Source organism: Homo sapiens, chromosome X (assembly GCF_000001405.40).
Source record: "Homo sapiens chromosome X, GRCh38.p14 Primary Assembly".
Taxonomy (NCBI): Eukaryota; Metazoa; Chordata; class Mammalia; order Primates; family Hominidae; genus Homo; species Homo sapiens.
Window position 1 is genome coordinate 121019922 of NC_000023.11, and position 27592 is coordinate 121047513.

The 27592-nt window shown below is 38.3% G+C and overlaps 1 long non-coding RNA gene and 1 pseudogene across 1 annotated transcript; both read right to left on the reverse strand.

The window, feature by feature from the left end:
• LOC105373328 (uncharacterized) lies at positions 1-27553 on the reverse strand. Its single transcript, XR_938572.4, has 4 exons — positions 27138-27553; positions 11495-11653; positions 1833-1963; positions 1-427 (listed from the first exon to the last, which is right to left on the reverse strand). It is a non-coding gene; the product is annotated as an uncharacterized LOC105373328 (long non-coding RNA).
• Positions 5358-6186, reverse strand: CBLL1P1 (CBLL1 pseudogene 1; annotated as a pseudogene).

Below are 27592 nucleotides of genomic sequence, written 5' to 3' on the forward strand. Positions count from 1 at the left end.
TGGTGTAACAAATAACATGTTTATTTTCTAATAAAATGTGATTCTTATAGTAATTGAACAAAACACTATTGCAACTAGGACAGCAAGGTAGTCAGAATAATACATTCCTTAGAATACCTCCTTTCAGTTGAGTTCATTACCAATATTAGTCACTCTAGGAAATTAAACTTCAAATCCTTTGTGGAAACTGCAGTCTAGTCCTCCTGAGGAGCTGGCTTCACATGGAAAGCATGAAACCATCTGGTTTTTCTTTCACTCTGATACCCATATGAGTGATCGTGGCACTTGAAAGGGTCCCATCCAGCCTGGTGACAATGCATGTTTCCTCCAGAACACTCATATTTAAACAAAATTGCCCAGTTTAATAGGGGTGATATTTCTTCCAGTAGTTCCTTCTAGGTCCTTTTCACTTTATGTCTCAGGATGTCTAGAAAAGAGAGAAGCCCTTTTAGCTATTGAACATGATTATGAAAGAATTGTTAAAGCAAGCAGAGTAAGTGGTTTCAGACCTAAATTCACAGGCTTGCCGAACATAAGTTCAAAGAGAGAGATAACATTATTAATTGCAAGAGTCACTCTAATTTTTAACAAAGCCAATTTTAACAAAGCCATTGGTAAATATCCAGGCCATTTTAACATAGTCGATTGTTGAATCATAGCCAGTGAGTTTGTTACTGTTTGAATCATCTATTCTACTTGGAGTATGATGATAGCTTATAGTAATCTGCAAATATCTGCATAATTCCTGGACAACAGTGCACATAAAATTATTTCCTCTGTCTGACTGAATAAGCTCTGAGAGCCCAAAAGTGGGGTTATGTGCATTAAGAGGACCTTTACCACTACTTGAGCATAAGCGTTTGAAGAGGGAAAGACTTAGGCCATTCAGATGTCATATACACCATAACCAGACAAAATCTCTTCTTTAGGCATTAATTCTATGAAATTGAATTCCCTCTATAGACACTAATTCCATGAAATCTAAGTGCCATCAGTTTTCTGGTAAAGTTGATTGAGGAAATTTTTCTGTGGTACTTGGAAGTGGCCTGTAAAGTATTCTGCTCACAAATAACAAGTCTTTTTAATATGTTTTGAATAATTTCGTCTTTCTGATTGATGTAGTAAGAGTCTAGTGTCTCTTCATGTATTTATTTAAGAGATAGAGTATTTCTCTGTTGCCCAGATAGGAGTGCAGTGGCATGATAATAGCTCACTGTAGGCTATGAACTCCTGGACTCAAGCTATCATCCAGAGTAGCTGGGATTTCAGGTGTGAGCCACCACACCTGGCTAGAGTCTAGTGTCTTTAACATCCCTCTGTTACGTAAATCATTTTGTTTGATAATGCAACAAAAATGAATCAAGCAAATACTGTGGTATAGGAATTATTTTATGGATAATTCCTATAGTCCAGTTGAATTTCTTTTAACTCCTTTTCAATATTTGTCTGTTTCCCTTCATGAATCTTATTTTTCTGAAAATAAATACAGGTTCTTTGTATTAAAAGTGGGGCTTCTAAGTTTGAAGTCTGACATGTTTTAACAACGACTTTTGCAGCTGTTGGCAAAATCATTGCCTTCATAAATTTCATAATTCTATTCTGTGTGAATTCTATAGTGGATTACTGATATCTGAACAGGTAGTTGTAAGGCTTCTAACAAATCATCTCTTGATTATCCATGAGACATTGTAGTTCCCGTTGAAGTCAATAATCTATTTTTCCAAATTTGCCCTGTTGCATAATATACACCAAACATATATTTATCACTGGCATATATATTCACTCTAAGTCCAGACCAAGAATTTTAGCACTAGTGACGGCTATTAACTTACCTACTTGTGCCAACTTAATTCCAGACAAAACATAAGCTTCCAAGAGCTCATGATCAGACACCACAGCATAAGAAACCTTCAGTTGGCCAATTTATCCCAAGTACATGGTCCATCAGTAAACACTATGAAATCTGCATTTTGAAAAGGAGTATAAGATCATCAGATTGGGGCCTAGCATTTGCCTCTATGATCATTTTACGGTCGTGATATGTTTGACTAAGATCTGGCAAAAGAGTACAAAGGTCTAGGAAATTGCATCTCCCAGGCATGGTATTAGAATTGGATAACAATGCTTGTTCATAGTCACTCTGATGGCATACCAACAAAGGCTGTTTTATGTATGTATAACTATCATCATATGTAGAATACTCAAATAAATCTAGTGACCCAATGTAAGGGCTTGAGCCTTTTCAATAAGAGTGGTGGCTGCTACCACCGCTCAGGGGAACCCAAGCAACTATCTAAAAGATCAGTGCCTCCTTCTTGCCAGGAGTCAATTTGATGCAGGGAAAGAGAGAAGTGCACGGGGTTCAGAGACAGTTGGGACAGCAGAGAAAGGAAGAGGTTTATGTGAAAGAGAAAGTCGCTTTAATTCTTGTATTTCCTCTTCCATTTTCCTCAATCTTTCCTTCTTGTTATTAAATCATTTTTAAAATTTTCCCCTTAGAATGGCAGTTATCTCATAAATACCAGTAATTCTTATGGCTGAAGTGAGAGATTTTTAAGATAAGACCCACCCAGATACGTTACAGTCATTCCTTTATATACACGGGGGATTGGCTCCAGGATCCCCCAAAGTACCAAAATCCTTGAGTACCTAAATGCCTTCTATAAAATGGTATCATATTTTCATATAACCCATACACATCCTCCTGTATACTTTAAATCATCTCTAGATTACTAATACCTAATACAATGTAAATGGTGTATGAACAGCTGTTATACTGTATTGTTTAGGGAATAACAAGAAAAAAAGTCTGTAAATGTTCAGCACAGACACAACCATCATAGGCTTCACTACATTTTTGATCTGTGGTTGGTTGAATTTCTGTATACAGAACCCACAGATATGGAAGGCCAACTATAATTTGTCCAAATTAAAGAAACTGTAAAACTAGATTCTTACATGTATGCTCATTCCAAATGTGACAAAAAGGTATTCGAATTTAAGAGATTTAAAAGAAACACCTGCAGGCAACATTTCTGGCTTCCCATATTTTTCTACCATCAAAGATAATAGTGATCCTGATGGGATTTTTAGCTCTGGTATCACCCACCCTCACTCAATAATAAAATCTTGAATTTGGAGTGGATGGCTCAGGTAGTATTCCAAAAAGTGAAGAGCTAGAAAGGAGACTTTTCTATAATTCAGGGTCTCTTACCTAACTGTTGTGTGACCACAAGTCTTTCAGATGATCTACCCAATTCAGAAATTGCCAGAAAGATCCTATCCTCATTGCTAAATTGTTGGGGAAATAATTAAACACAAAATCTCCTGCCAACCCAATACAACCTGTATATAAAACATAGGAAAGAATGAAATAGTTTTGTCATTGAATAAGCACTAAACCATATGCCTCACAGGCAATGCATTAAAACAACTGCGAAGACAAAAACACTCTCAATCTTCTATGTTTTATGTATATGTTAATTCATTACATACATGTTCACTGTATTTATTGAAAGGAAAAATAACATTTCTCATATGTTTTTGACAAGTAAGAAGTTACATTTTGGAGCTGATCCCACAGGCAGGGAGATAGGGCATCATTCTTTTTGGTGTTCACTTTGGTGTTCGAAGTGCTCCTTGGCACCTAAGAATGACACCTAAGAATTGGCACACTTGGCTGCAAAACTGTCAAGAGGTTTATTAGCTTTGAAAAAAATTTATATACATTTCAAAGAGACAGAGCTAACATTTATAATCTCAAGTTTTCTGAAGGAAATACTAAAAGAAAACAGAGCAAGTTCTCTTCACTTTTTTATACCAGGAAGAATTTTAAGTTAATTTTTAGAATTTTATTTACCCTTATACTGGCAAAGACAAGTCAAGGTCACAGTCCTAGAGGGGTAATACTGCCTAATAAATTTCCTGGATAGAGATTCATGCATAGGAAGAAGAAAAGGCATTGCCTTAGTAACTGTAACCAGAGTATGAGGTGAACACTGACTCTCAAGAAAGTAGAGGTGTCCCATTATAACTAGGGCATAAGGTCAGAGTTGGAGTAGCAAGAAGAATTTGATGCTGGGTTTGAAAGGTTTGGGCTAGAGCTGCTTAAATGCTTCTCATTTGTATGGGTTCTTTTTTGTTTTGTTTTGGGTATTTTTGTTTGTTTGTTTGTTTGTTTGAGATGGAGTCTCGCTCTGTGGCCCAGGCTGGAGTGCAGTGGCATGATCTTGACTCACTGCAACCTCTGCCTCCCTGGTTCAAGTGATTCTCCTGCCTCAGCCTCCTGAGTGGCTGGGATTACAGGCATGCACCACCATGCCCAGCTCATTTTTGTATTTTTAGTAGAGACGGGGTTTCGCCATTTTGGCCAGGGTGGTCTCGATCTCCTGACCACAGGTGATCCATCTGCCTCGGCCTCCCAAAGTGCTGGAATTACAAGTGTGAGCCACTGTGCCCGCCCTCATTTGTATGGGTTCTAAAATCCACGGCAGTGCTCAGCCTACAGATGATTTGGACCACAGAGCCTAGCTACATTGAGAAAGAACAACTTGGCCCTAGAAACAAGGACATTCTAAATTACACTGAGATTTGTGTATAAAGCTCATATTGCTGTCTTAACCACCAATAATGAAATTTACTCCTTTTACCCAGGTTAACAAAATATATCACAATAAAAACTAAACATTGAGTTTAACAGAAACAATATTTTGGAAGCAGAACACACATATTTTTAAGAAAATAATATTGCAAATGGTCAGTTTGGGGTCAATTTACCACACTAGAGTAACAAAGTTGATAAAATACAGCTATGTTCAACTAAACCATTTATCTACACTATAGTAAAATACTCGCAATCATTCCCAAGATCACAGTTTAAAACTATTTTAACAGATAAGACGTGTTTTACGGGCACCTCTGTAAGAGATGCTTTGCCTTCCTCAGTCAAAAGCATGATTAGAAGGTTGACAATATTTACTTTTTCCTCTTATCATATAGCCTGCTCAAAATAGTATTATCATTGGTAATATGGTCTGTATCTTGTCTGACCCGGATGATGTGTCCCAAGAAGTAGGGTTTGAGAAGGTAGATTCTGCATTCATAGAGGAAGGGGTGGCCGTCCAGGTACAGGCCACATGTCATGAATCATTTCCCCTGGTTGTATAAATGGAGGACTCGGAGTTCCTTGATATTCAGTGAACTTGGGTAAAGAGTTATGATTATAATGGTGAGAAGGGTGTGTTTTTACATGTTGTTGTGAGGCAGGTCCTGGAAGAAGATATCTTATATGAGGTGGCATCTGGACAATACTATGTCCGTGAAGAGAGTGGTAGAGTAGAGGTCATTGCTGGACTTGAAGCTTAGCTATGAACCAAGTGAGGAGTACCTGCAGCCTAAGGAAGATGTGGCATTGCATGGCTTGTTGGTAGCAGAAGAGGTGCTATGGTACAGAATGTAGCTATGGAGGTAGAGTATTATAAGAACTCAATACTACTCGTTGACCTTGATATTCAGGATGATGGTGAGCAAATGTGGAGGAAGTAGGTGTGGTTCTCAAGCACCTGAATTGGAGTGCTTTTGAATAGGAACAGTTATGAAATTGCCATGTTTTCTTGTTGAAATACAAAGGTTCCTTGACTTACTGAAGGAGATGGAGGTAAAGCCGTGAACAATTCTGCTGCAGGAGCATGAATATCCTTGGGGCTAATGATGTAGCTCATGTGGCAAATGCTGCAAAGAAAGTAGGTATCATAATGTGCTGCTTTGGGGGAATATTGGCTCATATGGTGCTTGTCTGGCCGCATCATAAAATGGTTAGGGATTTCAATTCGTGATGGGGTATCATGGAGGATGAACATTTTCTAGTCAGGCACAAGCAACAGGGTTTTACACTCTCATATGACAGTAGTTGATATGAGCCTCTAGGTCCCTCTTGAACCCTTGAAGTGTGCTACACATGAAGATAAAACCTTGTGTATGTTTCTCAATTTGCTTCACAGGATTGCTACAGCCTGGACACATCTTATCTCTTCCTTTTCCATGTAAAATAGCACAGACCTAGCAAAAAACATGCTTACATGTAATCATCCGTCCATAGATTTTAATTGATAATTCACATTTGTCACATAAATGGACTGGTGTATCGTCTTTTTCACCTAAGTTGTTTACCTGAACGTCCCCCAAAAGTTATTCACTAGATCTTTGCTGATTTGTTTCTTAATTTTTTTTCCTTTCTTTCTTTCTTTTTTTTTTTTTTTTTTGGATGGAGTCTCGCTCTGTCGCCCAGGCTGGGGAGCAGTGGCGCGATCTCGGCTCACTGCAAGCTCCGCCTCCCGGGTTCACGCCATTCTCCTGCCTGAGCCTCCCGAGTAGCTGGGGCTACAGACGCGTGCCACCACGCCCAGCTAATTTTTTTGTATTTTCGGTAGAGACGGGATTTCACCATGTTAGCCAGGATGGTCTCCATCTCCTGACCTCGTGATCCACCTGACTCAGCCTCCCAAAGTGCTGGGATTACAGGCGTCAGCCACCGCGCCGGGCCATCTTTGCTGATTTCTAAATGATTCTCCCCTTCTACCGTCACTATACAGTTCTTTGCTATGGTCGAATCCTTCAGCGTCCTCCATGATTTGGCTCGCAGGGCACAGTGGGAACTGAAGTGTACTGCACTGGAATCCCAGGGAGCGCATGGACCCTACCTTCTCCAGCCCCAGAGGCAGGAGTCTGACCAGGTCGCCTCAGCTCTGATCTCTTCTTACCTACCCCCATTCCAGAGAGGGAGTCAGGCAGAGGGAAAAACAGCGGGCATGAGAAGAGCTTCGTCATTGAGGTTGCTAAGGCTGCTTTTCTTATGGTTCAATAATATGTAGCCTTTAACTGTGGAAAAAGAAACTAACCTTGAATGGGGGAAGAAGACGGGGAACAGAGGCATGTTAGTACCTGAAGGAATAAGATGGAGGCAGGTAAGGTGGCCAGCCTGCCCTTAAAGGCTTTTTGAACGGTGGAATCCTTTATGTTTTTGAGGTGAAAGCCCACATATGCTATGCAATTTTCAAATAGAGACTGGATACCTTCCTATCAGAAATGCTGTAGATCTGGCCTCTCAAACTTTTCTGGCAAATTACCCCTAATGGCAGAGAAGAGTTAACTTTGTAACTGTGAGGGTGAGGGAGCAACATTCTAAGTACCTTCTAAAGCAAGACAATTTTTGGAATTCTTGTATGTTACTTTAACATATGAATATAACTTTCTGTTGCAGAATGTCTGTTTTAATGGAAAATACTGCATTTAATTATTTAGTTAACTTCTAGTATTTTCCTGGTCTTTGAGTAATATTAAAATCCTAGGAAGATGTGCCAGGATGTGTGCCAAATTCTATAGAACACTGCTATATCTCCCGTCGGTGTTGGTACACTAGTTTGTGATGCAGTGCATAGAGTAACTCCTTTACTGAGTACAAGATCATCCATTAGGACTTAGAAATCCTTTTTTATACAGAATCCTTTATATAGGTATTCATTTATAAGAGTATTTATCTGTAAATGAAGTTCAAAGTTAAAAGCCTCAACAAATTAGGAAGGTGATTAGTTGCATTACAAAATGCCTTCCCATATCCCAAAACTTCTCCTTTTGGTTCTTTAAATATTACATTCTCTTGGTGCATTTGATGTATATTTATAGAATATTAACAACTTGGAGGAGAGAACTAAATAAAATAATGAGTTAAAGGGCGAATAATCAATCAGTGATAATCACTCAAATATGAATAGAAAGCATATTAGAAATGAACATATTTGTTTATGGAAAGATAAGGCTGGATTTACGGAAATTTCATCTGTACCCACCTTTTCATAACCTATGCCTATTGTGAAGTGAGGATATACCTTCTCTGTAATAGCTTCATTCAATACTATTCAGAATAAATGTTTTCATTCTCACTTACAAAGAAACTTTGCAAAGAAAGTGATGAACTGCCATGCAAAAATATACCAAATACATTATTAAAAAGTAATTAAAGGGTAAGTCAGAGCATAAAACTACCCTTATGAAGCAGATTATCCATTTCTGCTGAAACACAAAGGCACTGTCAAAAGTGACCTCTGCCAGACAAAAAGACAAAACGGGGATGTTGCACCAGGTTGAAAATGCTATATTGAAAAGAAAAAATAAAAGCCATAAAAACATTTTTGATGGTATGCATTTATATACTGGAATTGCTGAATCATATAGCTAGATTAGAATATTTTTGCAGTAATATCATATGATTGATGTTAAGGATTTGGAGAGACTGAAATAATGAGAAGTTGAAAATTTTTCACATTTGCTGACACATTTTATAAAAGAAAAAATTTATAGTCACATGGAACATTTTATTGGAGAGAATGAATGAGAGAGAGAGTGAACAGCTGAGGTAGGGGGAAAAAGAATGAGACAGACCACTTTATGATGTTGGAAATCATTATGAAACTTACAGCTGGTTGGAAGAAGGAACCAAGGATAGAAGCTTAGAGAAAAGCCACCCCTCTTTATCCATTTCATTGTTGATGGGTTCCTGAAAGGTTGCAAGTAAATACGTACCAGTTTTCTCACCTTGACCTATAATATCATTTCACAACTATTTTACCTTAAGTTTGAATTTGTCATCACTGGGCAATGGCTGCTGATACTTGAGTTTTTGATATATTTGGCCCTCTGCCAAATAGCTAATGCTATATAAACAAATACCTAACTGTACAAGGGGACCTTGTAATTCAGTGTGTACCCTTCTTTCTGCAGAATAATCCTGCTTGAAGTTCTTTTCCAACCTCCTCTATATTCAGATGGATGCAGCTGCTCTGAGTGAAATTGAAGTGGGAGAGCCCAGAGTCTTACCTCCTTAACACTCCTACTGCTCTGGCCACCCCAATTACTCTCTCTTACAGTGGTTATTTAGGCAGCTCAGAGAAACACAGCTTGAAAACAACTCCTCACAATATATATTTTCTACACTGATGTATAAAATGTTTATAGTGAACTATATCATATGGGCAAAAGAATAATAGGTGAGTACCCATCTCTAGCTTAAGAAACAGAGTATTATTCGTGCATTTGCAAGCCCTGCAGCACCCCCTCACTCATTATCACCTCCAACAAGAGGAAAGCACTATGCTAAATTTTGTGTTCCTCATTCTCTTGCTATTTTCAGTTTTAAAAATTATGTGTATATATCTTTATCCAAAATCTTGTTTAGTTTTATGTTTTTACATTTCTATGGATGAAATGATACCATGACTTCCTTTATTCCCTTAACATATTTCTGAGATATTTTTATGTTAATGCATGTAGCTGTATTTAATTCATTTTCAGCAGTGTATTTCATTGTATGAATATATTATAATTTAACTGTTGTCTTGTTGGGGAATATTTGGTTTGTTCCCAGGTTTTGCAATTACAAGTGCTACTATTGACACTACTATTGATGCCAGGGATTTGGAGAGACAGAAAGAATGAAACATTTGTGTATGTCTCTTGTACATGTTCAAGAATTTTTCTAGGGTGCATATATATGTTTGGAACCACAAGATCATAGAGAATAAACATACTCAACGTTTCCAAAGTGGTCCTACCAATTTGTCAGCAGACTATAAAAGTTTTTGCTCCACATCTTCACCAATACTTCACATTAATAGACTTTTAATTTATTACCAATTTGGCAGTAGTAAAATTCTTATTGTTATGTTTTTAATTTTGTGTTTCTCTGATTGCAAATGAGATTGAGCAGCTTTTCATGTTTTATAGGTCATTTATAATTCCTCTTTAAAAAAATACCCATTCATATTATTGGAACATTTTTTTCTGTTGAACAATTTGTCTTTTCCTTATTGATTTGTATGAGTTCATTATATACCCCCAATATTGATTCTTTGTTATATGATTTTCAGTTATCTTCTATAAGTTTGTAGGTTGCCTTTTAATTTTCTTCATGGTGTCTTCTGATAAACAGACGTTCTCAAATTTGATGGATTAAACTTATCAATATTTTTCTTTAGTGCTTTTCTGATATGCTTAAAATGTTTTCCCTAACCTGAAGTCAAAAAGGATACTTTCCCTTATTTATTTGTAGGTTTGGACTTTCAAATGGAGTATTTTTTTTTGGCTGGGGGGAGACCTGAGTTTTATTATTACTCAAATCAGTCTCCCCAAGCATCTGGGGATCAGAGTTTTTAAGGATAATTTGGTGGGTGGGGGAAGGCCAGTCAGTCAAGAGTGCTGATTGGTTGGGTCAAAGATGAAATAATAGGGAATTGAAGCTGTCCTTTTGGACTAAGTCAGTTCCTGTGTGGAAGCCACAAGATCAGATGAGTCAGTTTATCGATCTGGGTGGTGCCAGCTGATCGATCGAATGCAGGGTCTGCGAAATCTCTCAAACACTGATCTTGGGAGCAGTTTAGGGAGGGTCAGAATCTTGTGGCCTCCAGCTGCATGACTCCTAAACCATAATTTTTAATCCTGTGGCTAATTTGTTAGTCCTACAAAGGCAGTTTAGTCACCAGGCAAGAAGGAGGTTTGTTTTGGGAAAGGGCTGTTATTGTCTTTGTTTTGTACTATAAACTAAGTTCCTCCCAAAGTTAGTTCAGCCTTTGCCCAGGAATGAACAAGGACAGTTTGGAGGTTAGAAGATGGCATTGGTTAGACTAGATCTGTTTCACTGTCTTCAGTTATAATTTTGCAATGGTTGCTTCAGTCCTTCCCTTTGGATTTTATAACACCTTAATCTTAAAGTGTTGGCTAATGAAGATGGAAAAAGTGTGAAGACCGCTCTAACTTCTTCCTGCTGATCAGGGGGATAGTGGGGGTAGGTGTTGACCCCAAGGTGAGAGGAGTGGAACCACTTTGCAACTGTCTGAGCATACTCATGCAGGCCTGGTTGGGGTTCCAAGGTTTGCATGGCAAAGGTGTTAGTATTGTCATCTATAGTTTTAGTACCACATTTAAGAGAACAGCATACTATAAGGTAAATATTGAGTACTAGGGTAAGGGGTGCAATTCTTAGTTTTAAAAGTAAAGATTTGAAAATATTAGTTTGGGGACTTGTAGCCCTCAAGGATTTAGTCCAAACTGCAGAAAAAAACTTTGAGAACAGCTAACAACAGGTATACTATATTTTTTCTTTTGAACCGTAATTTTTCTCTCTCCAGTCCCCATGTTTATTAATAACAAATCATGATATAATTGAGTTGTTTACAACATAAACTTTAGTCTTATTGTACTTGGCCTGATTATTTGCATAAAGTACAGCAAGAATAATGATTTTTCACATAGGCTTTAAAAATTGGCTTCGATGGAACTCTATTCCATAAGGAATCTTAGATAAGACTTTTATAAAGCTGAGCCCAGCTATGGGTTCGTACCCTCAAATACCTACGAGTTGGCTAAATTCCTCTCCTCTCCTCTTGAGGTTCCTATATAGCTTGGGGCTCCTGGACCTGTTAGAAAGTTGACATTCTTTACTTACCACAAGTCGGGAATCTTGTACAGAGATGGCATAGACAAGGTATGAGGCCACATTTCCCAAGGGGCTTTTATTGGCTCTACAAGTCAACTTTGATTCTTTAAAGAAGCATGCCATTCCAGTCAAAGCCTTGGTGAAATAACTAGTTTCTCCAGTTGTGTCCTGTTACAAAAGAAAACAGTTTCTTATTGCACTTATGCAAATAACTATACTGTCATTAAGTTGAGAATATTCACAAATAAAATGGAGTCATTTAATTGATCTGCTATTGATTTTGTATGGAGTGACATGGTGATCCAATTTCATTTTTTTCCTCCATATAAACAGTCAATTATTCCAGAACCATTTCTAAAATAGTCTACTCGTTCTCCTATGATTATCAATGGCAAGCTCTGTCACCTATCCAGTTTTCATATATGCATAAATCTGTTTCTGGAGTCTCTGTTTCATTCCATTGGTCTGTTTTCTTATCCCATCTTAATTACTGTGGCCGTATGAAGTTTTGAAGTTTTAAAGAGAGGAACAAGTCTCCCAAACTTATTTTTGAGGAACGTCTTGGCTCTCCTTGGCTGTTTGCTGTATAACAATATTTTAGGTTGGTGGGATATTGGAGGGGGAGGGATAAGGGAAAAGAAGGGGAGAGGAAAAGGTTTACAAATATATATTTGCTCACATATAAATCTTCTGAAAGTCAACTCTGCTGTTGTAGTCAAGCATTTTTTAGGCCATAAAAGTTGTCTGCTTAAATTTATTGACATGAGTGTCAGTACCATATGTGATGAGGCACTGGGTCAACATAATTTTTGTTTCTTTTATTTTTAAAACTAACTTCCTTGGGATCTTATCATTTCTTGAGATGAACAGTATAACGTTGTGATAAAAAAAAAAGCATGAGCTTTACTTTGAGGAACATTTCTTTTTAAATTTCTGTTCTGCTGCTTAGTATTTGTGTGACCTTAGACATATTACTTAATATTTCTGAAATGAATTGCTTGCTTTTTGGTCTGTAAATGGTAGTGATAATATTGACCTACTGTGTTAGTTTTTTATCTGCTGTAACAAATTACCATAAGCTTAGTGGTTTAAAAGAATATAAATTTATTATCTTATATAGGTTAAAAGTCTGACAAGGTCCTTACTGGACTAAAAGCAGGTTATTGGCAGGGCTGCATGCCTTTTTGGACTCTCTACAGGAGAATCTGTTTCCTTGTTCATTCAGATTGTTGGCAGAAATCAGTTTTCTGTGATTGTAGGCCTAAGGTCTCCATTTCCTCATTGGCTGTCCACTGGGATCTTCCCAGCTTGCAGAGGCCAACTTCATTTCTTGGCTCATGGCCCCGTCCTTCATCTTCAAATTCAGCAACAATGGATTGAATCCCTCTCACTCTTTGAATCTCTCTTGCTGCTTCTTCCATCACGTCACTCTGTGTCTGTCTCTCTCTCTCTCACTCTAGCCTGGAAAGGTTCTCTAAGGGCTCATATGATTAGATTGGGCCCATTCAGATAATTCAGAATAATTTCCCTATTTTAAGGTCTGTAACTTTAATCACGTTTGTACATGGCCCTTTTGCCATGCAAAGTAACATATTTACACGTTCTGAGATACAAATGTGAACATCTTTTTGGGGAAAGGAAGGGTTGCATTATTGTTCTGTCTATCTGCCATGCCTACCATGTGACTGTTGTGAGGAATGCATGAGCTAATGCATGTAAAGAGCTCAAGATAGTTTTGATATGTAGTAAACACTCAACTGGAGTGTTATTAACATTTGAATTACTACTTATGAGCAGCGAAATGTGGGTTTTCTCCTTTACTGTTTTTGGAATATTTATGTGAACTTATCTTACCTTCTACTGACATAATTCCTCTTTAAACTTTTTTGAAGTCATGAAATATTTTAAGCATACAGACTTATATAATTTTTGAGAATATTGATGCCCTATACAGTTGTAATGGGTTGAATTGTGCTTGCCCCCAAATATATGTTCATATCCTAACCCCTAGTACCTGTGAATATGACCTTTTTAGCAATAGAGTCTTTGCACATATTAATAAAGTTAAGGTGAGGTCATATTATATTAAGGTTGGCTTAAGTCCAGTGATTGGCATCTTTATAAGAGAAAGAAAAGGCAGATTCTGTCACAGAGGCACAGCAGAGAAACACAAGGGAAGAGGCCATGTAATGATGGTGGCAGAGAGTGAAGTGACGCAGCTCTAAGCCAAGGAATGCCAAGGATTGCTGGCAACCGCCAGAAGCTAGAAAGAGACAAGGGAAAGATTCTTCCCTAGAGCCTTTAGAAGGAGCATGGCCCTGCCAGCACCTTCATTTTGGACATCTAGGACTGTGATAGAACAAATTTCTATTGTTCCAAGCCACTTGGTTTGTGGTATTTTTATTACAGCAGCCTAGGAAACTAATATAAAATCTTGCCATGTATTTTTTTCAACTTGGTTTTTCTTTGAAGTAGCATATCAAAGATGGTCTTGTTAGTTTCTAGTGTATGAGACATCTACATTCAAATATATGCCAAATATACGGTCAATATCTTAAGGAAGACTTGTTTTGTGTGGCCCCTAATAGTAAAATTAGGATCTATGAGTAAAAGTTGTAAGGAAACTGATTTTTTAGCTCAATATATAAAATGAGGCTTTCTAACAATCACAGTGGTCCGTGGCAGTGAGAGCTGTTTCAATACTCATACGCCAGACATTTTTTTTGAGGCAGTGGAACTAGTTTCTCATGAATGTTTTAGATAAAAACTCATTTTAAAGAAAATTAATTATTCTCATCGTAAATTGGGAATAATAATGTTTCATGTTGGTCACAAAAAATAAAAGTCTAAAATGATGCTGGCTTATTTAAATGTATACAAGAAAAACACAGAAAGCTCTTATCAACATTTTCTGCATGAAATTCAAATGGAAATGAAATTTAATCAGTTAGCTGATACATATATAGATAGCTAGTCTATATTATAAGGCTGCATCTAAATCAATTGGTAGAATTTTTTCTTAAAAAAAGCAATGAATCATCCAGTGTTTATTGAGTGCTCCCTCTGTAACGTAAGGGAGGTAGATGATACTGTCACTACCCTAGTTGATGTTATACTTTTGTTGAGTTGTGTGGTAGTAGGCTTATATAGGGTGTTTTTCCAGGATCCATTTTCTAACCCTCTTTCTAACCATATTCAGACTTTCTTTCTGGTATTCCCCCCTCTCCTTAACAGGTTACTTGCTTCAGGCCACCCAGTCAGGGGGAATTTCAGTACTCTTATTTGGAATGCTGGTGAGAAGTTCTGTGTGTCTCTTTGGATGTTGTAATAATGTAGTCTTGATTGTGGCTGGCAGTTATATGGTTGTCAAGAGATGTACCAGTCTTAGGACAAAGTTGACACTGAGGATAGTGGAGTAGAAGGATATAAGGATATTGAGTCCCGGAAGATATCATTGAGCTGCTACATCAACTAGTATCTGCATGTTTCAGTTAAGTGAGAAAATAAATCCCCTTTTTGTTTAAGTCAGTTTGCACTGGATTTTCTGTTTTTTCGTAGCATAAAGTCTTATCTGATACAAACATGTATTCATAAAGCAACTGAAGAATAACAAATGATAATCTATAATCAAGAGCTAGATATGCTAAAAATAAATACTGTAGATTTTTGGTTTTTAAAGTGTGGTTCCTAGGCCAGCAGCATCAGCATTGCCTGAGAACTTGTTAGAAATGCAAATTTTATGGCCCCACCCCAGATTTACTGAATCAGAAACTCTGGCAGAGGGTCCCAGTAATTTTTGTTTTAACAAGCTCTCTAGGAGATTCTGATCATGCTGAAGTTTGAAAACCACTGCTCTAGAAGTTCAGGAAATGAGGGATTATTGTTTATTGAAGAGTAGTGAAAGACTTCATGGAGAAGGTGAGATGAGCTAAACACTAGAGTAAGATGGACTTTTGAAAAGGAGACTCATGAAACAGTTAATAAGGCACAGAGGTAAGAATGAAGATGGTATTTATGGGGCATTTTATGACTAATTGTGACATTAATAAAATAGTGAAGGACTAAAATTGCTTGAGTAGTGGGGTAGGAGAGAATTGGTGGCTGAGATTCAGTTTTTATGTTTGTCCAGGTATTCTCATTTTACTTGAATTCATTGAAAACCTGAACAGTAGAATGCATTATTGATATTCTTCATTGTAGGCAATATATGTTGAATCAACCTGTCTAGACTATAGCCATAGAATATTAAGATCATCAAGTCATAGAAAGAGAATGGACTAATCCTACTTGTATTGGCATTAGGTAGGCAGAGAGGCCTCCTTCCTGGACTTCAAAAATTTGTTTGAAGGGAGTTACAGTAGTTCCCCCTTAACTGTGGGCGATATGATCCAAGATTCCCAGTCAATGCCTGAAAGTATGGATGTACTGAATCCTACATATACTATATATATTCTATATATACTTGTACACATGTACCTGTGATAAGGTTTAATTTATAAATTAGGCACAAGAAGAGATTAACAACAATAATGAATCAATAAAATAGAACAATTATAAAAATATACTGTAATCAAGGTTATGTGACTGTGGTCTCTTTCTCTCTCTCTCAGAATATCTTACTGTTCTGTGCTCACCTATTTTCAAATTGAGGTTGCCCAAGAGAGACCACAGAAAGCAAAACTGTGTATAAGGGGGACGAATATACTTTTATCTTGTGAAAATTTAACACTAGCAGGGTGGCACCAGCAGTGAGACTTCAACCAGCCTTGGATTTGTGTGATATTTATACAGTTCCTTGTCTTCCTCCTTCCATTCCATATTTTGTGGGAGAAATTCCTGCCTTAAATACCGATGTCATGTCTAAGGTTGTACATCACCCACCTACACTGCCTGCTCAGTTTGATAATGTGTGCTTGGATGGAAATGTTTACATTCCATCCTTTTCCCTAAAGTACTATAAGCCATGCATAATGATGCCGCCCTGTGGAATTATGGAATGGGAACTGACTGGCTCAGAGACTGCTGGAAAATGAGAGAGAAGCACTTTAAAGCTAAAATGCCAAAGGCTGCAAAAAAAATAAACTCTTAGATAGACTTTAAAATCGCCTTTCCAAAACTGTCTAGATCTAAGTTTGTGGTGGTGGTTGGTGTGGGTGTGTAAGTGATAGCAGGGCTGGAGGAGAGAGGAAGGGTTTTAACCTGATGATGCAAATTACTTCTCCTTGTTGACAACTATCTTTTTGTTAAGGAGTGCTAGAACAGTGAACAAGCATTTCTAAAGCATTGGCACTGTTCAGTGTGTTTAGACATTATTTAATTAGTCAAAAATGGGGCTTTATTTTAGAGAGGATTTAATTGTCTTGATACTGAATGATCTTGGTATGGCAAAGACATTTGTCTCTGTATATATGTGTATGTGTATGTGCAAAATGTATATAATGGAAGTAGCTTTGGAGTTGGGCCAAAAAATCCTCAGCACCAAGCTAAGGTTACTTTAAATCTGCTTGCTTTGCAGGTAATATTGAAGGATGCGTGAGACAAGCAATAAATTTCCCCCCTCTGCCACTTTGGAAGACTGAATCACCTCGTTTGTTCAGTTAGACTAACCTATCATTTGACTTGCTTTGAAGGTCTAAAGTTTAAATTTTTCCTCTCTTTGGGGATTGGGTAAGGAGGTGATTGAAAAAAGAAAATGTTTAAATCACGGAACACTAATGAGTCATAGGCCTGGAGAAGTCATTTTTGACTTTACACTTTGCTCGAAGGAGCAACTTGGACTTGTGCTAGCTTGTTCTCTGGTGGAACAATTTCTGCAGGCAGAATGATTTCCATGGGCATAGGCTGGTGGAGACTTGGATTTCCAGTGCTTTCTTGGAAAAGATGGTATGTTTTGATAACCTTGACACAGGCCTGATAATTCCTATTATCCTAGCGTCTCTGACCAATTTTTACTAGCACTGGACTGTGAAGCTTTTGCTGTTTGAGGGCTGAATTTGTGCACTGCTTCCCTTCCTTGCTCTGGAGGTTTTTAGCTCTGTGATGTTTCTAATATATTCTTTTAAATGTTCTATTTATGAGTTCATTTTCATTCATTAAATGCATCTCTCACCATTAATGGGAGTTGTCTAAAGGAAGATGTATAGTCTGACACACCCCGTGGTGTCTTTTGCAAAGTATTTGAAGTGAGATAAAGTCCTGCTGTAGCCAACATACCCATAAAGCAGCTGACAGGTATGTATTGCACATCTACTAAGTACAGTTGACCCTTGAACAACACAAGTTTGAACAGCACAGGTCCACTTATATGCAAATTTTTTTCAGTAAAATCACTCTGTGTACCTGCCTCTCTTGCCTCCCTTCCACCTCCTCCACCTTTTCAGCCTCTGCAGCCCCTAAGACAGCAAGGCCAACCCTCCTCTTTCTCCTCCTCCTCAGACTCCTCCATGTGAAGACAAGGATGAAGACCTTTATGGTGATCTGCTTCCACTCAATGAATAGTATATGTATTTTCTTTTCCTTATGATTTTCTTTTCTTATCTCTATCTTACTTTATTATAAGAACATAATATATAATACATATAACATACAAAATATATGTTAATTGACTGTTTATGTTATCAATGAGGCTTCTGGTCAACAGGGTCCTTCTAACAATCCTCTGCACTGTGCTCTTTCTAGAAGCATGCATGTGACCAAGGTACTCTCTGGCTTGATCCACAGGATAAAACCTTAGGGCCCGGAATGAGATAGATTTGTCTTTTGTCCTTGAATTAGAATAACTTATGAGAAGGTAGTGTTGAGGTCTGTTGATTTTACTTTAGTCTCTTTAGTATGGTGGGCCTGGGAACTTGAGATAACCAGCTAGGGCTCTTGTGTGCGGTCATATGAAACATGAATAGGAGCTTCTCTGTGGGAAAGAAGTTGGCTTTTGCTCTTAGAATAGCAGAGGTACCTGAGAACAGGCTTTTGCTTCAGAGTAGGATGAGTGTGAGAAGGCAGGTAGCTAGGAGCCTGATCATAGAGGATCTTATGGAAAGGTTGACCAGTCAGCCAGAGAAAAGTCCAATGTGCACCTGTAGGTCTGGTATAATTATTAGGAGCACCCTCTTTTTACTACCAAAAGTCTCCTGGTTTGTATGACAAATTTTATTGCAAGGAGATTAGATGAGATTGCTTTGTCCTTTTGAATTCCTGATGCTGCTCTGCTGGCTGGTCCTTCAACTGGCACCACCTACTTTACCTTATCTAGGGCATCCGATATCCTCCACTCCCTTTCTGTTAAGCCCCTCTTTTTCCATATGCTTCTTTGTCTTTTTCCCTTTTCCCATTCATATTCTTGCGATGTTCTTTATGTCTGTGGCCCTTTTTTGGCCATGGGGATTATCTAACCTGAGACTGGCTTTGTTTCAAGCTCCAATGGCTCTGATGCTTGGTTCATTTTTATGTCCTTTCGCCATTTTTGAATTTGATTGGCCAATTGCCCAAACAAGAGGAATCACCTGTCTGTTCTATTAGGGTCAGCCTTTCACAGCAGTTATGTAATGTCTTTAGAACTAAGGTTTCTTAGCCCATTTGGGTTGCTATAACGAAATACCATAAGCTGGGTAGCTTATAAACAACAAAAATGTATTTATCATATTTCTGAAAGCTAGGAAGTACAAGATCAAGGTGCCAGCAGATTCAGTGTCTGGTGAGAGCCCACTTTCTGGTTCACAGCCTTCTAGCTGTGTCCTCACATGGTAGAAGAAGCAAAGCAGCTCTCTGGAACCTCTTTTATAAAGGCACTAATCCTATTCATCATTCATTCATAATCCTTCCATATGTGCCCAGACATATCCAAGTAGTAGATTAGTACCAGCCCCACCTCCTAATACCATCACATTGGTGATTAGGTTTCAACGTATGAATTTTAGGCAGACACAAACACTCAGACCATAGCACAAGGCTTCATGAAATTTAGTGCTGCCCATCTGCTTCCATGGTCTTGGTCTGAGGGACGATTGTTAGGAATGTTGTCTAACTGGCAATCCTTACTACAGCAAATACAGATAGCAGTTTTTCCCCCAAAGTAATATGTACCATTGTCCCTGAAGGAAATGTGAGAAAAAAAAAGTTTTTGGAGATCACCCAGGAAGCCCAGTCATCCTACCAGAACTTCTGCTGATAGAGCCCAGTTAGCTCATGTTGGGCTTTGACCCACTTAGTACTCTTTCAGCTTAGGACAGTAAAACCAGTAGCTTTAAGAAATCTGTAGATGTTCCATTCATCTTCATATCATTCAATTCTTATGTTGCTAGGGTATGAAGACAGTTAAACACAAGAGCATTTTATAGGTTTATCAGGGCACTGATGTCATCTGGGGATAGCGTACTTCACTTATACATCATATGTGAAAAACAGAATGAGACACAAATCACAGAGAAATGCAGTTAACGTTTCATGAGTTCATAAATCTGGAGCTGTGGCCAACACTGGGACCTCTGTTGGAAACTTCCAGCTTTATAATTCAGTAGCTCCAAGGATTAATTTTACCATGCAGAGTTTGGGTCAGGAGCTAAAATACATCCACATGCAAATCTAGACCATGGAGAATAACTAAACACATTTTTGTATGGAGATTTGTGAATGTGCTGTGGTGAAACAATCTCATAAGGGGCCTTTGAATTGTCACTTGTTACTTGCATACATAATGTGCACTATTCAGTACAGTAAACTTTCCATTCAGAACAATCCTCAGGAAGTCAAATTGTCTCTCTGCCGATGACATGACTGTATACTTAGAAAACCCCATTGTCTCAGCCCAAAAACTCCTTAAGCTGATAAGCAACTTCAGCAAAGTCTCAGGATACAAAATCAATGTGCAAAAATCACAAGCATTCCTATACACCAATAATAGACAAGCAGAGAGCCAAATCATGAGTGAACTCCCATTCACAATTGCTACAAAGAGAATAAAATACCTAGGAATACAACCTACAAAGGACGTGAAAGACCTCTTCAAGGAGAACTATAAACCACTTCTCAAGGAAATAAGAGAGGACACAAACAAATGGAAAAACATTCCATGCTCATGGATAGGAAGAATCAATATCGTGAAAATGGCCATACTGCTCAAAGTAATTTATAGATTCAGTGCTATTCCGATCAAGCTACCATTGACTTTATTCGCAAAATTAGAAAAAAAAACTTTAAATTTCATATGGAACCAAAAAAGAGCTTGTATAGCAAAGACAATCCTAAGCGAAAAGAACAAAGGTGGGGGGCACCACGCTACCTGACTTCAAACTATGCTACACTATACTACAAGGCTACAGTAACCAAAACAGCATGGTACTGGTACCAAAACAGATATATAGACCAATGAAACAGAACAGAGGCCTCAGAAATAACGCCATACATCTACAACCATCTGATCTTTGACAAACCTGAGAAAAACAAGCAATGGGGAAAGGATTCCCTATTTAATAAATGGTGTTGGGAAAACTGGCTAGCATTATGCAGAAAACTGAAACTGGACCCCTTCCTTACACCTTATAAAAAAATTAACTCGAGATAGGTTAAAGACTTAAACCTAAAACCTAAAACCATGAAAACCCTAGAAGAAAACCTAGGCAGTACCATTCAGGACATAGGCATGGGCAAAGACTTCATGACCAAAACACCAAAAGTAATGGCAACAAAAGCCAAAATTGACAAATGGGATCTAATTAAAGAGCTTCTGCACAGCAAAAGAAACTATCATCAGAGTGAATAGGCAACCTACAGAATGGAAGAAATTTTTTTGCATCTGAAATTTTATCCATCTGACAAATGTCTAATATCCAGAATCTACAAGGAAGTTAAACAAATTTACAAGGAAAAAAACCAACCCCATCAAAAAGTGGGTGAAGGATATGAGCAGACATTTCTCAAAAGAAGACATGTATTTGGCCAAGAAACATATGAAAAAAAGCTAATCACTGGTCATTAGAGAAATACAAATCAAAACCACAATGAGATGCTATCTAACGCCAGTTAGAATGGCGATCATTAAAAAGTCAGGAAACAACAGATACTGGCAAGTCTGTGGAGAAATAGGAATGCTTCTACACTGTTGGTGGGAGTGTAAATTAGTTCAACCATTGTGGAAGACAGTGTGGCGATTCCTCAAGGATCTAGAACCAGAAATATCATTTGACCCAGCAATCCCATTACTGGGTATATACGCAAAGGATTATAAATCATTCTGCTATAAAGACACATGCACATGTATGTTTATTGGACCACTATTTACAATAGCAAAGAATTGGAACCAACCCAAATGCCCATCAACGATAGACTGGATAAAGAAAATGTGGCATATATACACCATGGAATACTATGGAGCCATAAAAAAGAATGAGTTCATGTCCTTTGCAGGGATATGGATGAAGCTGGAAACCATCATTCTCAGCAAACTAACACAGGAACAGAAAACCAAACACCGCATGTTCTCACTCATAAGTGAGAGTTGAACAATGTTAACACATGGACACAGGGAGGGAAACATCACACACTGGGGCCTGTTGAGGGGTGGAGGGCCAAGTGAGGGAGAGCATAAGTACAAGTACCTAATGCATGTGGGTCTTGAAACTTAGATGATGGGTTGATACATGCAGCAAACCACCATGGCACATGTATACCTATGTAACAAACCTGCACATTCTGCACATGTATCCCAGAACGTTTTTTAAAAAAGATCAAAATATTTTAAAAAAGAGTGCTTTCTCCAATTGAATGTGTGCTGGCCCCCAGCAGGGGAGAAACTGCTGTGTCCGCAAGAGTGGATGGAGTAGGTTAAGAGATGACCGACTCTTTGCATCCATTCCTGGCTACTGGTGCTACTCCCTTCAGAAATTGGTGCCGTGCCTGTGTATTCTTTATCCCAAGAAAGAATTCTGTGGCAGGTTGCACTCCCCCCTCCGTTAGAGGTGGCCCACGCTGAGGGTGAGATCTCTAGGAGTCCTATATAACTCCCTGGTGACCCACCAGTCTCCCGTGTTTGCCAAAATCAGAGTGGGTTGTGGGGTATGTTTGCAGGGAAACTGGTGGTGTGGGGACTCAAGGCAGAGATTCCTTGGGCAGGGCAGTGGCGCACCACAGCTACAACTGGTATGACACCCACTGTCTCAGTTTGTGTCTGAGCGGCATGCAATCATGCCTGCATGAGATGACCTTTCAGTTCTCTGCCCCTAGGAAGCTCTCAAATCACAACCAACAGTATTGCCCAGGGCCATAAGGGCAGAGGGGCTCTCCAATGGTTTGGCAGTCAGCAGACTGTTACAGGGGTGGGGGAAGCAGAGAAACACTCCTACCTACACTTTCTGCAGGGATCTGAGTTCCTTGGGGGTCAAACTTTGTCTGATTCTTGCTGCTTTCTGTTTCTGCACTCCAGCTTCTTCCTCTAGGAGTTTTTGACAGGTCCTGGCTCTCTTCCCACAGTTTTCTATTTGGAACATGCACTCACCAGTAACTTTGATCTTTCTGAGGAGAACTGGCATCCAATGTCCCTAGTCATTCATTTTGGGAAAAAAGACAAGACCTGTTGAATTACATCTATTTGAGGATCTCTGAGCTTCCTGTATCTGCATGTCTAAATCTCTTTTTAGACTTCGGATGTTTTCAGCTATTATTTTATTAAATAGGTTTTCTATCCCTTTTATTTTCTTTCTGTTTTCTGGGACACTAAAAATCCAAAATATTTGGTTGCTGTATGGTGTCCCATATTTCACATGGGCTTTTCTCATTCTTTTTATTCTTTTTTCTTCATTTTTGTCTGACTGGTTTATTTCAAAAGCGCAGTCTTCAAGTTCTGAAATTCTTTCTTTTGCTTGATTTAGCCTATTATTTATGCTTTCAAATGTATTTTGTATTTCATTCCATAAATTCTTCTAGAATTTATTTGCTGCTTTTTAAAGTGATATCTGTCTGGTAAATTTCTCATTTATATCCTAAGTTGTTTTTCTGATTTTTTTGTATAGTTCCTCGGAGTTCTCGTGTGTCTTACTGAGCTTCTTAAAAATCTGTATTTTCCATTATTTATTCAGCATTTTGTTAATTTCTTTCTGATTGGATCTGTTGCTGGTGAATTATTATATTCCTTTGGAAGTGTCATTTTCCCTTGCTTTTCCATGTTTCTTGTGCTAATTCACTGATGTCTGTGCATCTGGTGTAACAGTTGCTTCTTCCAATTTTTGAATTTGCTTTTGTAGGGAAGAACTTTTTCCTGAAGATGTATTTATGATATTGGTTGGGTAGTGCTTTGATTCTGTGTATGTGCAGTATTGCAGTCTCCATATGATTTTTTTGGCTGTAAGCAGTGTCAGTGGTGCCTGTGATTTTCTCAGTGGCATAGGGTGCAGCTGCTAGTACAGGCTGTGACATTTTCGTGGTCACAGGTATATCAGGTTGGCCAGTGCTCAGGCTTTATTGGTGAAAACATCAGGCTGAGCATGCCTGTCACTGGGCCTCTGGGTGGCATAAGCTGGCATTGGCATTAGTTGGTCCAGGTGGGCTGATTCCTGGGGCTCCAGGTAGCTTGCTCACATGTTGGCAGTGGCAGAAGTGGGCTGGGTGAGTGGCCATATCCTCAGGCCTCTTGGCAGTGGGCGTGGCATGGTGATGGCAGTAGCAGTGGCAGGATAATCCTCTGCCTTGCAATTGGTCCTCACTAGTGTTGGCAGTGACTACAATGGGCTGGGTGGGCTAGTACCCAGGCCTGCATGTGGCATGTGTGAGTGGATGCCTGCTGTGGTAGTAGCATCAGGTTGGGTGGGCTCATTCCCAGGACCCTGGGAAGAGTGCTCTGGTGTTAATGGTGGTTTATGGGGCAGGGCAATTCCCAGACCACCTGATGGCATGTTCAGCACTAGTAGGTGGAATCAGGCTGAGTAGGCCTGTCCTCGGGTCCCTTTTTTTTGTTGGCAATTTTTTGATTACCATTTCAATTTTGCTGCTTGTTCAGAGATTCTGTTCAGAGATTCTGTATCTTGCTAGTTTAATCTAGGAGGGTTGTATATTTCCAGGAATTCATCCATCTTTTCTAGGTTTTCTAGTTTATGCTCATAAAGGTGTTCATAGTAGCCTTAAATGATCTTTTTTATTTCTGTGGTATCAGTTGTAATCTCCTGTTTTATTTCTAATTGAGCTTATTTGGATCTTCTCTCTTCTTTTCTTGGTTATCTCACTAATGATCTGTCAATTTTATTTATCTTTACAAAGAACAAGCCTTTTGTTTCATTTATCTTTTGTAATTTTTGTTTGTTTCAATTTCATTTAGTTCTTCTCCGATTTTTCTTATATCCTTTCTTCTGCTAAGTTTGGGTTTGGATTGTTCTTTCTCCAGTTCCGTGAGGTGTGACCTTGGATTGTCTATTTGTGCTCTTTCAGACTTTTTGATGTAGGTATTTAGTGCTATGAACTTTCCTCTTAGCACAGCTTTTGCTGTATCCCAGAGGTTTTGATAGGTTGTGTCACAATTATCGTATTGTACAGTTCAAAGAATTGCAAAAATATAGAACCAGCCCAAATGCCCATCAATCAATGAGTGGATAAAGAAAATGTGATATATATATATCCCATAGAATATTACTTAGCCATACAAAGGAATGAAATAGTGGCATTCACAGCAACCTGGGTGGAATTGGAAACTATTATTCTAAGTGACGTAACTCGGGAATGGAAAGCCAAACATTGTACGTTCTCACTCATAATTGGGATCTAAGCTATGAGGATGCAAAGGCATAAGAATGATACACTGGACTTTGGGGACTTGGGGGAATGGGTGGGTGGTGGCAAGGAATAAAAGACTACATGTTGGGAACAGGGTGCACTGCTCAGGTGATGGGTGCACCAAAATCTCAGAAATCATGACTAAGTAACTTATTCATGTAACCAAACACCACTCGTTCCCCCAAAACCTATTGAAATTAAAAAAAAAACAAAACACATGCACACGAATGTTCATTGCAGTACTATTCAGAATAGCAAAGACATGGAGTCAACCTAAATGCTCATCAATGACAGATTGTCCAAAGAAAATGTGATACATATACACCACGGAATACTATGCAGCCATAAAAAAGAATGAGACTCTGTTATTTGCAGGAACATGGATGGAGCTGCAGGCCACTATTCTTAGCATATTTACCCAGGAACAGAAAACCAAATATTGCATGTTCTCACTTATAAATGGGTGCTAAATGATGAGAACTCATGGACACAAAGAGGGGAGCAACAAACACTGGGACCTACCAGAGGGAGGAGGGTGGGAGGAAGAAGATCAGAAAACATAACAATTGGACTAGGCTTAGTACCTGGGTGACTAAAAAATCTGTACAACAAATTTCTGTGTCATGAGTTTACCTATATAACAAACCTACATGTGTACCCCTGAACATAAATAAAAGATTTTAAAAATTTAACTGATTATATGTTTAATGTTTATTTTTGGGCTATTCTATTTCATTTGTTTATGTCTGTCCTTATGCTGGTACCACGCTATTTTGATTACTTCAGGTTTGTTGTAAGTTTTGAAATCAGGAAATTTGAATCATCCAACATTGTTCTTTTTCAAAATTATTTTGAGTACTCTGAGCCCCTTGAAATTCCATATATATTTTAGAATAGACTTTTTTATTTATACCAAAAACATCATTGGGATCCTGATCGGGATTGCTTTAAATCTATAGATCACTTTTGTGAAGTATTATCCATTTTAATAATTGTAAGTTTTCTAATTCATGAACATAGAATGTCTTCTCATTACTTATGCCTCCTTCAATTTCTTTCAGCAATGTTTTGTATTTTGCAATGTACAAGTCTTTTGCCTCACTGGTTAAATTTATTCCTAAGTACTTTACTCTTCTTGATAGTATTGTAAATTGAATTGTTTTATTAGTTCCCTTTTTAGATATTTACTTCATAGCATATAGGAATGTAGCTGATATTTTTGTGTTTATTTTGTATTCAGCAACTTTGTTGAATTTGTATATTACCTCTGTGTATGTGTTTGTCTCCCTCTCTCTCCCTCTGTATAATATTTGGCGTTTGCTACACATAAGGTCATGCCATACGTGAACAGAGGTAATTTTACTTTTTTTCTGTTTTTTTTTCTTTCTTGCCTAATTCCTCTGATTAGAACTTCTAATACTATGTTGAATAAAAATGGCAAATGTAGGCATCTTTGCCTTGTTCTTCATAATAAGACATCCTGTGATTTTTAACATGCATTATGTTGTATGTTTTGGCAGCATTGTTGTTTTTCTTGCAAATAATTTAATAGTTTAACTCAAAGCTTCTAGGATGCTTTCATGTTGTTAGGTGAATCATTCCATGACTGCCGAATAAGGAATTTTCCAAGTGAATCTCAGAAATTTGTGTTTTAATAAGTGCTTCAGGTGATTCTGTTGCATACTCAAGTTTGAGAACCATTGTCCAAGGGGCAAAAGCTGCCATTGCCAATTGCTCTTTTTTATCTGAGAGGGGGCAGGATCCTCCTGGTCCACTGCTTGTGGATGCAACTTATTAAATGAAATAAGGCCATGAGTACTCTAGGGCCCAATCTCTGCTTTTTGTTTTGTTCACTCCTGTTTAAAATTTCACTCAGGGCTCTCTTTGGAAGAATTGCACTTACCTTTGCCATCCGGGGCTGAGGTTTCATTTTCTTTGGTTATTCCCCAGGCCAGTACCATTTGCTTTTTACTTTCCAGAAGTTCTGTAAAGATTGTTGATGGTACCCTTTCTTAGCTTTTTTTTTTTTTTTTGGTCTTGATATAGTCCTATTCTTCTAAAAAATCTTTTCATTTGTCTCCGTCAGACTTTGATGGAGAGGAGGGGAGATATTGTTTACATTTGTTAAAAATGGCTTTTAAGTTAAATTCTAACTAAGGGTCTATTAGGAAATAAAATTGCCTTCTGACTCCTTTTGATTTATTTTGCAGAATTGCATATATCCAAAGCTCTGGGTAATTATTAAACATTAGAAGTATAGAACAAACAGGCCAGCCAGGCCCGGCGAGGCCGCGGCGGGTCCGGCGCCCCGGACCTCCGGACCCGGAGGTCCGGCGCCCTGGTTGGCGCCCTGCCCCC